The sequence below is a fragment of the Homo sapiens genome, chromosome 17 (genome assembly GCF_000001405.40).
Source record: "Homo sapiens chromosome 17, GRCh38.p14 Primary Assembly".
NCBI classification, from domain to species: Eukaryota; Metazoa; Chordata; class Mammalia; order Primates; family Hominidae; genus Homo; species Homo sapiens.
Genome location: NC_000017.11, coordinates 76,553,865 through 76,565,360, shown reverse-complemented (window position 1 = coordinate 76,565,360; position 11,496 = coordinate 76,553,865). Strand labels below are relative to the sequence as shown.

Sequence of the window (11,496 nt, the reverse complement as noted above, 5' to 3'; positions counted from 1 at the left end):
TTTGAACTCAGCTGACGGTAGTTTCCCAAGTTTATTGTAAGTGGTTTTAAGTTAAGTCTCATCCAAACAAGTTATCACACAGCACTTAACCAAGCCCTGGGATTTACTGTCTTGATGACTACACGGCTTTGCACAGTCTGAGATGCTTCAGTGTGCAAGGCAGCAGCTGGGGGGGAGGAGGGGGGTCTTCACAGGGACAGCTGGCAAGAGACTTCCTGAGGCACATCAGTTACGTTGGTCAATTTAGGGCACGGTCTGGTTCTGCAGCTTTGAAAGGTGGATTCTTTCTATTAGCACACTTTACAAGAGGGATTGTAAAGGATTAACTCAGTCACCAGAAACGAAACACCACTTCAGAAATTCAGAGACCTCTGATCAACAGAACAGACATTTGGGCTTTAACTGCTAAAGCAGCTACCTACTTGGGGAAACCATGGCATTCTGCTGCCTGGACAGCAGGAATTAAGAGAGATTTCAGAGTTACTGGCACGAGGACAAAGCCTCTCAGCTCGCTTCACCTTGGCAACCTTAAACAGTCCCTCCTTGGTCTCTATGATAGCAGTATGTTCCTTTGGATGGAATACTTGGTTTGGAAATAATGTAGTCAAATGTAGGATATGTAAGTACTCCTCAACAGTCACAATCCATCCTAGTATCTTAAATAGTGATTTTTTTTTTTTAATTTACAAAAGAGGTTTATTGGACTTACAGTTCTACATGGCTGGGAAGGCCTCACAATCATGGCGGAAGGTGAAAGCCACATCTCACATGGCAGCAGATAAGAGAAAAAAAGGTAGTGATCTTTTAGTAAAGAAACCTGAGACTGGTAGTGGGCTTGGAGCCAGAGGATCGCTTAAGTCCGGGAGTTCGAGACCAGCCAGGGTAACAAATTGAGACCCCCCCCCAACTTTAAAATTAAAAAACGAAAGAAAAAATAGCTGGGTGTGGTGGCTCACACCTGTAATCCTAGCACTTTGGGAGGCCAAGGCGGGTGGATTGCCTGAGCTCAGGAGTTTGAGACCAACCTGGGCAACATGGTTGAAACCCTGTCTCTACTAAAACAAAAAAAATCAGCCAGGTGTGGTAGCGTGCACCTGTAGTCCCAGTTACTTGGGAGGCTGAGGCACAAGAATTGCTTGAACCTGGGAGGTAGAGGTTGCAGAGATCATGCCACTGCACTCCCAGCCTGGGTGACAGAGCAAGACTGTCTCAAAAACAACAACAACAACAACAACAAAACAAAACAAAAAAAACCTCTCAAAAAAATGAAAAAAAATTTAAATTTAAATTAAAAAAAAAAATGCTGGGTCTGATGGCTCACACCTGTCATCTCAGCACTTTGGGAAGCTGAGGCAGGCAGATCACAAGGTCAGGAGATAGAGACCATCCTGGCCAACATGGTGAAACCCAGTCTCTACTAAAGAAGGTACGCGCCTGTAGTCCCAGCACTCAGGAGGCTGAGCCAGGAGAATTGCTTGAACCCGGGAGGTGGAGGTTGCAGTGAGCCAAGATTGTACCACTTCACTCCAGCCTGGCGACAGAGTGGAACTCCGTCTCAAAAAATAAAATAAAATAAAATAAAATAAAATAAAATAAAATAAAATAAAGCAAAAATATAAAATGTTAAAAAAAAAACAAAAAAAGGGAAAAAGGAAGCTGATTGCCTTGGTGAGTCAACACTGGGTATTTTCTGACCACTATTTGAAACAAAAAAGGAAACCACTGATATTCTATGCAAAGATCTGTTCCTGGAAGGCACTCTGCGGAGACACCAGGAGAACTTTTATCAATCCTTCATTGATTTGAAGTAAAAGTGCTAAAGCAATGGTTGTGGGTGGCAACCCATTAGCAGATCACAAAATCACTGTAGTGGGTAACTAAACAAGAGGAAACACAAGACGGCATCCTGTGTAACTGGGGTTAAGCATTACTCTCTGAAACTCATGGCATCAGTTTCCTCTTAGGCTCTTCCAACAGAGTATAATCATGTTCATTTCAGTTTACAATCCTTGCAGTCCCATCGATTTGTGAGATTATACCCAGGTCATCCACAGTGGAGGTCTGAAAATGTTCTTAGTTGTACTCTAATTTCACTAACTGCCAAAAGGTTTTCCAGAATAATCTCAGTTGCTTCATTCCTTTAAAGATGAAGCCCAAAGAACGCATGGCGATTACTTTAGAGGAACAATTAGCAGCAGAGGCAGGGCTGTGCTGATCCCATCTGGCATCGCTGGGAGCTAACCTATAAAACAGAAGAATAATTTGAAGTAACAGCCAAGGAAGTGACTCAAAACTGAATGCTATATAACAACTAATTTGGGAGAACAGGCAGTCAGTCCAAGAGCACTCACTCTCACCACCGGCAGGCATGTGCGCGTTGGGGGAGCGTAACGGGGCACTATCACACCATTTTGGTGCAGGCTGGTGGAGATCCAGGATGACTCATTTTAAGGAGACAGTATCTCTGAGGGAGCAGTTTCTGGTAAGAGGCCAGTAAACAACTATCAGAAAGCACTCCCTCTGGATAGAAACATTTCAAGTCAAATCTTATGGTTTACTTGAGTTCTGTAGTCAAGTCCACTCAGCAGACAATAACCACTTGATAAGCTACCCTTTTCACTGTTTTACTTGCAGGCTGTAAACTACTGGGGCCAGTTTTTAGGCTCATTAAATCTCACCCAGAATACAGCTTCTTTGGTGTCCAGCAAAAACACAACCTTAAATACAAAGAGTTTGCACACACCTCCCCTTTCTTTTTTTTTTTTTTTTTTTTGAGACGGAGTCTCGCTCTGTCACCCAGGCAGGACTGCGGACTGCAGTGGCGCAATCTCGGCTCACTGCAAGCTCCGCTTCCCGGGTTCACGCCATTCTCCTGCCTCAGCCTCCCGAGTAGCTGGGACTACAGGCGCCCGCCACCGCGCCCGGCTAATTTTTTTGTATTTTTAGTAGAGACGGGGTTTCACCTTGTTAGCCAGGATGGTCTCGATCTCCTGACCTCATGATCCACCCGCCTCGGCCTCCCAAAGTGCTGGGATTACAGGCGTGAGCCACCGCGCCCGGCCCACACCTCCCCTTTCAACAGAAAAGAAAGGCAATCTGTGTGCACTTCAAGCCTGGCATTCCAGTGGGAACAAAGCTGGGCACCCCACTCTCCAGCACCACTTGGTTTCTTTCTTGCTCACATGCCAGTCGTGACATTCAGACAGGATCTAAGCTACAAACTTAGGAGACCTCCCTGGCGTCCTTAACAAAGCACATAGAAACCAAACAGCCGTGGTTTCCCCTAAATGTCAGGACCCTGGAGCAGAGGCAAGGTCAGAGTCATTAAGCATTCTCATTGCCACAAGCTGGCATACATCCTACATTCCAATCTGTTTCTAAGAGCGCATTCATTTTCTTGAAATATGTAACAAGCACTTTCATTCCACAATAAGGGCATAAATCAAATCCTGGGTACTTGTGCATTCCTGCCACCTCATACAGCCTGTATCCTCAGAGCCATAATCAAAGGACTAGAGAAAGCAGGACAATCACTCATTTGCTTTTCACGTTTTAGAGGAATGATGCTCTAGACTGGGCTCTCAGCAGGATATGCTGAGGGAAAAAAAAAGGGGAAAAAAAACAAAAACAAAAAAAAAACCATGGAGCCAAACCCTTAAGCCTCAGAATAGATTATTTCCCTCAGTCCAGATTTTCAGACAGGGATAACTAACCATCATAGGCTTGTGGGACTTCTTACGGATACGAAAGATGTAAACAAATCTTACAAACAGGAAAGCAATCATTTCACTTGTTTCCGGCAAAGCAGTTCAGTTTCGTCTCTTATTGCAGACACCTAGCAACAAAATGCTACTAAAGTCTCCCTGCCCCCATTGCTTTAAGTCCAGAGCAGGGGAAGCAAAAAAGATTACCACTCCCCCAAACCAAACCAAGCCTGTTTACCAGTTCGTCTACTTACTCACATTAAAGACATGGCACTTTGGGTCCGGGTCCAGGTCCTGGTTCAGAGCAGCTGCCACACCGTGGCTACTAGAGGATCCTTTTCCGGCTTTGGAAACTGAGGCTGACTGCACCTGGGAAGAGAAATTAAGAAAAAAAACTACTTAAGAAGATACACACAGAGTAACTCTCAAGTAACTTAAAATTTCTGTAAGGCAAACTTGGGAAACTGAGTTTCAGATATTCAAATTCCACACAGAAAGGCCTTTCTTTGCCTTCAGACAGGGATAACTTGAAATCATCATGGACTCAGCTCCCACCAACCTGCTGGACCATAGCACTAACAGCCACAGCACACGCAAACTATTTTTTTCTCATCAAATTGTTCACTTCCCTCACGCAAATTCTTTGTGGAGCAAGCATGTGACTTTCTTTTTTTGAAAAGTAGTTTCACTCTTGTTGCCCAGGCTGGAGTGCAATGACGCGATCTCGGCTCACTGCAACCTCCACCTCCCGGGTTCAAGTGATTCTCCTGCCTCAGACTCCCAAGTAAGTTGGGATTACAAGCATGCGCCACCACGCCAGGCTAATTTTGTATTTTTAGTAGAGACGGAGTTTCTCCATGTTGGTCAGGCTGGTCTCGAACTCCCGACCTCAGATGATCCACCTGCCTCGGCCTCCCCAAGTGCTGGGATTACAGGTGTCAGCCACCGTGCCCTCCAGGCTTTCAGTTTTTTAAGACAGAGGATTAGAGATTTGCCCAAGAGCTACTTAAAAATAGCCAGCACTATAATCTCACTATAATAAAATCCTTGCACTAAAAACAGATCAGATCATCTACTTCAAGCTTGTCTAACCCACAGCCTGCATGTGGCTCAGGACGGCTTTGAATGCAGCCCAACACAAATTTGTAAACTTTAGGACGGCTTTGAATGCAGCCCAACAAATTTGTAAACTTTCTCAAAATATTATGAGATTTTTTTTTTTTAGCTCATCAGCTATCATTAGTGTTAGTTTATTTTATGTGTGACCCAAGACAATTCTTCCAATGTGGCACAGGGAAGCCAAAAGATTGACACCCCTGATCTAGTTACTACCCACTTGCTCTTGGACTGGCCACATGATTCCTGGACTCCACTCCAGAGCCATTCTCACCCATGCCTGGAGGTGAGGCCCAGGAATGTGTATATTTTAACACTTTGTAGGTGGCTCTGATGTAATAATCAAGTTTGGAAATCACTAACCCTGTTTCACAAATGAAGAAACAAGACTCTGGTGAGAAAATAGGCTGAGACTAGAGCTCAGATCTCTAGTTAGCCTAACGTGTGGTATACAGGAGTTTCTCAACCTCAGCTCTACTGACATACTGGGTGGATCAATTATTCCTCATGCAGGCTGTTGTATGCATTGTAGGATATTTATTTATTTATTTATTTACAGAGTTTCGCTCTTGTCGCCTAGACTGGAGTACAATGGTGCCATCTCAGCTCACTGCAAACCTCTGCCTCCTGGGTTCAAGAGATTCTCCTGCCTTAGTCTCCCAAGTAGCTAGGATTACAGGTGCCCGCCACCACACCCAGCTAATTTTTGTATTTTTAGTAGAGACAAGGTTTCACCATGTTGGCCAGGCTGGTCTCGAACTCGAACTCCTGACCTCAGGTGATCCATCTGCTTCGGCCTCCCAAAGTGCTGGGATTACAGGCATGAGATAAATATCCAGGCCCAGCCAGGGTATTTATTAATAGTAGCATTCACCAGATGCCAGGAACACCATCGCTCCCCAGTTCAGAACTGCCAGTCTAACTCAGTAACTGCTTGTATAACTTTGGGCAAAAGAACTCTTTACGCCTCACTTTTACTTACTCAGCAGCAGAGTGGGGAAAAAAATTTACCTCATATGGGGTTGATATTAGAAATACTATTTATGGCCAGGCAAGGTGGCTCACGCCTGTAATCCCAGCACAGATCACCTTAAGTCGGGAGTTCAAGACCAGCCTGACCAACATGGAGAAACCCCGTCTCTACTAAAAACACAAAATTAGCTAGGCGTGGTGGTGCATGCCTGTAATCCCAGCTACTTGGGAGGCTGAGGCAGGAGACTAGCTTGAACCCAGGAGGCAGAGGTTGCGCTGAGCCAAGATCGCACCATCGCACTCCAGCCTGGGCAACAAGAGCAAAACTCTGTCTCAAAACAAACAAACAAAAAATGCTCTTTATGAGAGTGCTTGGCAAGGACCCTATCAAAAGGAATTCCATACTACTTCCATTATCTGGGCAATCGTAACCCTGGAAGACCAACACATCCCCAAAACTAACAAACCAATACTTAAAGAGGACCATAAGCATATTCAAGTCTATGAAAGTACTAAAAATCTCACCATTTACAGAAATTTCATCATGAAGATCCTTACACTTAACACCTTAAGGTGATGAGTTTTCACATGACTGTTTTCAAGGCCACAGCCACCACCTTTAATCTAAAAGAGAAGGATAACAGGCTTCATTCTAACAGAAACCACCTTAAGGTTTATTCTCCAGATTTGTATTAAACAGCTGAGCCTCAGCAAGTCAGACCTCCTCACAAAAGATACCATTTCAGACAGGGATAACTTTAAATCATCCTCAGCTCAGCCAATAACAAAGATTCCTAAATCCTAGCGATCCAAAATTCATTTGCCATGTCTCTTTCATCCCTGCATGCCCTAACGAGGATCCACGCTGGTTACAATGACACCTAGTGGCCCCAAATCACACGGGCAAAGACGCTACTCATTTTTATCATTAAAATAATTAGCATTCTGAATTTTGAGTAATTTCTTACCATAGCTGGCTTGTATGTCAACACGTATTCTCATACTTGAACTTCAGAATAAAGCAGGAGGTGAATGTATGTGATGGCACCAACTGTGCTTTCTCATTTCTAGTGACCACTCAGGCCCTGCCTGCACCCACTCTTACTCATGTTAAGGGCTCCATCTATTACTCTGATCCTTCAACCTGGAGCTCTGCTTTTCACCGTCTCTGCAGATGCCAAACAAAGAAAGGCCTCTGGGGGAGGAAAAAAGGCTCGTTGTTAAAACTACGGCTTTCCAGAAGTTTACAATCCTATTGACTCCTATCTGTAAAGCTAAATATGAACTACCGATTGGGGCCGTCCTCAAGACACTCCAAGCGGAATCACGTCTTCACACGTTAACACTCCTGATGCTGAATTAAGAACCACCATCGTCAGAGTCTGCCCGTGCGCGGGCACCGAAGACCCCTGGGCATGACGCTCAGCACACGCGCGGCGGAGGCGCACGGGGCTGCCCAGGTTGTTAGGCGCTCTCCCCCGCAGAAGCCGGCCCTATGACGCCGAGGACGGGCTTGAGCTCTCTCCCTTCACATAGTAACATTTTCTCAACGTTTGGAAAGCATTTTCTCATCCAGTACTTTTAACCCTCCTAACCACCCTATGAGGGAGAAACCGAGATTATCGTCACCACTTCGTCTCTGAGGAAGGGAAGCCAAGTATGTTAGTGTCGTGTCAAGGAAGACCCCGTTTTCCCACCCAGGCAGCCTTACCATCATCACTAAAGGCCTGAGACTGCTCGCCGTGCTCAACACCGACTGGAGTGGCCATGTCTTCCAGCCACGCGGCCGACCTCGAAAAGAACGCGAGACCGCCCCTGCGCGCAAGTCTTCTCGGCAATCTCTCCGGAACTCTCGCGATGTTGAGAAAGGGCTGGTGGGAAATGTAGTTCAAAACTACGGCGGCTGGGGGCTGGCCGCGTCCTCAGCGCGACCCTGGAGCTGGGGGTAAGATGGTGGCCGCCACCAGGGGCAGTGGAGGGTCCGGAGTGGGAAACCAGGCCTGTGAAGAACCACGGCTGTCAGAAAACGAAGCTGGAGGTTCACTTCTGCCAGAAAGTCATTGAGCTTCAACACAGTTTGTCCCTGGTCGAGACTGGGGAAGCACAGAAAGTTCGAGGGGGCAGGGACAGATGAGGAAACCGGGGCTTGGCCGAGTATCTTTGTTAATTGCTCTGCGGATTTTATTTGGGGGAGGATAGGGGCATTTGGGGTGGTTCGCTGGGTTAGTGAAGAGGAGAGATTCCGAGGGAATCGTTCAACCTCCTGCTCAGGTGTTTTTAAGTTTGGGGCGAGGCCGGTGAAGCCGAGGCGCGGGCGGCAAGGAGCGCTGGAGAGCGACGGGGCTCGGCCTCCGCGGCTGCCCAGGGGCCCGGGGCATTCCGAGAAGAGAAAAAAAGGCAAGTGTCACGAGCTGAATTACGAAAAGAACGGAGAATGATGTAACACCCACTGCTCTTCTGAGTGTTATTTTTCAGGCAAACACCTTGGCTTCATTTTTTTTTGTTTCTGGGTTTTTTTGGTTTGTTTTTGAGATAAGGTTTCACCCTGGCACGCAGGCTGGAGTGCAGTGGTGCAATCATAACTTATTGTAGCCTGGACCTCCCGGGCTCAAGTGATCCTCCCGCCTCAGCCTCCTGAGTGGCCGGGACGACAGGCGAGCGCCACCACGCCCAGCTGATTATTTTTATTTTGCAGAGATGAGGTCTCACTATGTTGCCCGGGTTGGTCTCAAACTCCTGGCCTCAAGCAGTCCTCCTGTTTTGGCCTCCCAAAGTGCTGGGATTACAAAGGTGAGCCACTGCGCCCGGTCTGGCTTCGTTTTTGAAATAAAAATAAGGCAAAAACGACATCAACAATCAGGGCCAGAATTTGCACCTATTTGAAAGCTAGTTTAAGTTTGCAAGACCGAGAGCCTTTTCTCCATTCCAGTCTCCCTGTTCTCATCCACCCATTAACAGTGATCTCTGTGGCCTTCGGTGTGGGTTATATTGTCCTGCAGATGGTAATATGTTGCAGATACTTATCTTCAAATTACCACATTTGCTTATGTTTACCTCCTTTCATTTGATTGTAAGCTCTTCAAGAGCAGAAGTCTCTTTTTATTATTATTATTATTTTTTTTTTTTTTTTTTTTTGAGATGGACTTTTGCTCTTGTTGCCCAGGCTGGAATGCAATGGCACGATCTCGGCTCACGGCAACCTCCGCCTCCCAAGCTCAAGTGATTCTCCTGCCTCAGCCTCCTGAGTAGCTGGGATTACAGGCATGCGCCACCACGCCCAGCTAATTTTGTATTTTTAGTAGAGATGGGGTTTCTCCATGTTAGGCTGTTCTCAAACTCCTGACCTCAGGTGATCCACCCGTCTCAGCCTCCCAAAGTGCTGGGATTACAGGCGTGAGCCACCACGCCCAGCCTCTTTTTATTTTTATTTTTTTCTTTTTAATTTCTTAACAGTGCAGGGTTTGGTATTTACCTGCTATGCTCACAGTAAGTCTTCAGCAAATAATCATTAATTCATTCAGCAGTAATTCTGGCCATTAGGTTTCTCTACCTTACCCTTGAAGACACGTTATTTTGTGTAATACTGAAAGGAAGAATGTGTTCTATCCCTGCAAACATAGTTCCTTTCATTTGAGACTTACAGTGGGAATTCTAAGTGTGGAATTTCCCAAAAGCTGCTAGCGGGCTGGTGACCTACTGTAGACAAGATAGTAATGATAGCTAATACTTCATAGCACTTACCAGGTGCCATTCCCTATACTGGTTTCTGTACATGTATGAACTCGTTTAATCCTCACAATGCGATGAAGTACTACTGTCAGAGGCATTGGAACCAGAAAACTCCATCTTGAATAGGAGCTGGGTGAAACGAGGCTGAAACCTACTGGGCTGCATTCCCGGACGGTTAAGGCATTCTAAGTCACAGGATGAGACAGGAGGTCGGCACAAGATACAGGCCATAAAGACCTTGCTGATAAAACAGTTTGCAGTAAATAAGCCCACCAAAACCAAAACCAAGATGGCGATGAGAGTGACCTCTGGTCGTCCTCACTGCTACACTCCCACCAGCGCCATGACAGTTTACAAATGCCATGGCAACATCAGGAAGTTACCCTATGTGGTCTAAAAATGGGAGGCGTAAATAATCCACCCCTTGTTTAGGATATAATCAAGAAATAACCATAAAAATGGGCAACCAGCAGCCCTCAGGGCTGCTCTGTGGAGTAGCCTTTTTTTTTTTTTTTTTTTTGAGACAGAGTCTCGCTCTGTCACCCAGGCTGCAGTGGTGCTGCTGTCTCGGCTCACTGCAGCCTCCACCTCCTGGGTTCAAGCAATTCTCCTGCTTCAGCCTCCCGAGTAGCTGGATTACAGGCGCACGCCACCACGCCCGGCTAATTTTTGTATTTTTAGTAGCAACAGGGTTTCACCATGTTGGCCAGGCTGGTCTCGAACTCCTGACCTCAAGTGATCTGCCTGCCTCAGCCTCCCAAAGTGCTAGGATTATAGGCTTGAGCCACCATGCCTGGCCAAGTAGCCATTCTTTTATTCCTTTACTTTTCTAATAAACTTGCTTTCACTTTAGTCTATAGACATCCCAAATTCCTTCTTGCTCAAGATCCAAGAACCCTCTTTTGGGGTCTGGATCAGGACTCCTCTCCGGTAACACTATCACTGTCCCCATTTTACGGATAAGGAAACAGAAGCACTGGGAAATTCGGTAACTTGCCCAAATTCACATAACCAGTAACTGGCAGGGTCAGGGTTTGCTCCCAGCCTGTAGAATCCATGCTTTTACCGCTAATGAATAAGGTGACCTTATGTATAAGGACTTTTGTTTTCGGGGAGGAAGGGAGAAGGAAGAAGATTTTCATGTGTTTGTAGGGGTGGTTGGGGACAAAATCAGAAATGAGGTTGAAAGGGGGAACAATGGGCACCTGCTCTGCCATTTGAGCCACTTCGTGGCAGGAAGAGTGAGGATGGGAGGCTGCAGAGCTGATGTGTGGAAGATGGAGGCTCTGGGCTCTAGCAGGGCTGTATTGGGCCTGGATGCCACCCAGTGTATAGTGAGGGCCATTCTTTACAGCTCTTCACTCTGCCGCAGGCCACCAAGTTGCTTTCACACCTGACTGGACATCGCTTCCCCAACAGCAGGTTCATGGCAGATGGGGATGCCAGGGCAGCTGGGCAGTGGCCAAGAGGCTGGAGCGAAATACAATGAGAGGCCTTGTGCCGAGCACATGTAAAGTACACTGTGCAGCCAACCCAGAAATAACTAGGGGGACTTCAGAGAATGCATCAGAATTCCTGAATGAGCCGGCAAGGGCTCAGAGCTGTTGAGACTGAAATGTGGATGTTACTGTGATCTCATTTGCACTCATTGCTGGTGAGAGCTAGGACATTTGAGTTTTACCTACCGTGGAATTATTATACAGCCTTTATACCAGGCTAGTGCAGACCTCTATTTATTGACATGGAAAGAGTCACAGTCTAGTGACTCTTTACAAACAGGAAAGCAAAAGTCCCCAGCGCTTTTCAGGGACCCAGGCTCTGAGTACAAAGGGAAAATCCAGTCAGCTGGCCTGCTGTATTGGGGTGGTCACTGACAGCGTTTAAGACATGGTATCTGAAACCCACAGTAATAGAAAACAGTCTTTGGGCTGGTCGCAGTGGCTCATGCCTATAATCCCAACACTTTGGTTGGCCA

The 11,496-nt window shown here is 46.4% G+C and overlaps 1 long non-coding RNA gene and 3 other non-coding genes across 7 annotated transcripts, besides 4 other annotated features; all 4 read right to left on the bottom strand.

The window, feature by feature from the left end:
• Window positions 1-12: 12 nt before the first annotated feature.
• On the bottom strand, window positions 13-7,597 carry SNHG16 (small nucleolar RNA host gene 16). 4 transcript variants are annotated; one of them, NR_038108.1, is made up of 4 exons: window positions 7,504-7,597; window positions 6,318-6,416; window positions 3,959-4,073; window positions 13-2,242 (listed from the first exon to the last, which is right to left on the bottom strand). It is a non-coding gene; the product is annotated as a small nucleolar RNA host gene 16 (long non-coding RNA). The 4 variants fall into 4 exon arrangements; NR_038109.1 differs by having other exon boundaries at window positions 3,963-4,073; NR_038110.1 differs by lacking the exon at window positions 6,318-6,416.
• On the bottom strand, window positions 3,655-3,728 carry SNORD1A (small nucleolar RNA, C/D box 1A). Its single transcript, NR_004395.1, has one exon. It is a non-coding gene; the product is annotated as a small nucleolar RNA, C/D box 1A (small nucleolar RNA).
• Window positions 4,168-4,253, bottom strand: SNORD1B (small nucleolar RNA, C/D box 1B). The gene has a single exon (NR_004396.1). It is a non-coding gene; the product is annotated as a small nucleolar RNA, C/D box 1B (small nucleolar RNA).
• Window positions 6,375-7,176: an enhancer, noted in NCBI's record as "NANOG-H3K27ac-H3K4me1 hESC enhancer chr17:74554267-74555068 (GRCh37/hg19 assembly coordinates)". NCBI's record gives its function as "activates a minimal SCP1, AML or CMV promoter by ChIP-STARR-seq in naive H9 embryonic stem cells {active_cell/tissue: H9 hESC(naive)}" and the evidence as "EXISTENCE:reporter gene assay evidence [ECO:0000049][PMID:30033119]".
• SNORD1C (small nucleolar RNA, C/D box 1C) lies at window positions 6,492-6,571 on the bottom strand. Its single transcript, NR_004397.2, has one exon. It is a non-coding gene; the product is annotated as a small nucleolar RNA, C/D box 1C (small nucleolar RNA).
• Window positions 7,177-7,977: an enhancer, noted in NCBI's record as "NANOG-H3K27ac-H3K4me1 hESC enhancer chr17:74553466-74554266 (GRCh37/hg19 assembly coordinates)". NCBI's record gives its function as "activates a minimal SCP1, AML or CMV promoter by ChIP-STARR-seq in naive H9 embryonic stem cells {active_cell/tissue: H9 hESC(naive)}" and the evidence as "EXISTENCE:reporter gene assay evidence [ECO:0000049][PMID:30033119]".
• Window positions 7,517-7,776: an enhancer, noted in NCBI's record as "active region_12812". NCBI's record gives its function as "activates an Ori minimal core promoter by ATAC-STARR-seq in GM12878 lymphoblastoid cells {active_cell/tissue: GM12878}" and the evidence as "EXISTENCE:reporter gene assay evidence [ECO:0000049][PMID:35858748]".
• Window positions 8,467-8,566: an enhancer, noted in NCBI's record as "active region_12811". NCBI's record gives its function as "activates an Ori minimal core promoter by ATAC-STARR-seq in GM12878 lymphoblastoid cells {active_cell/tissue: GM12878}" and the evidence as "EXISTENCE:reporter gene assay evidence [ECO:0000049][PMID:35858748]".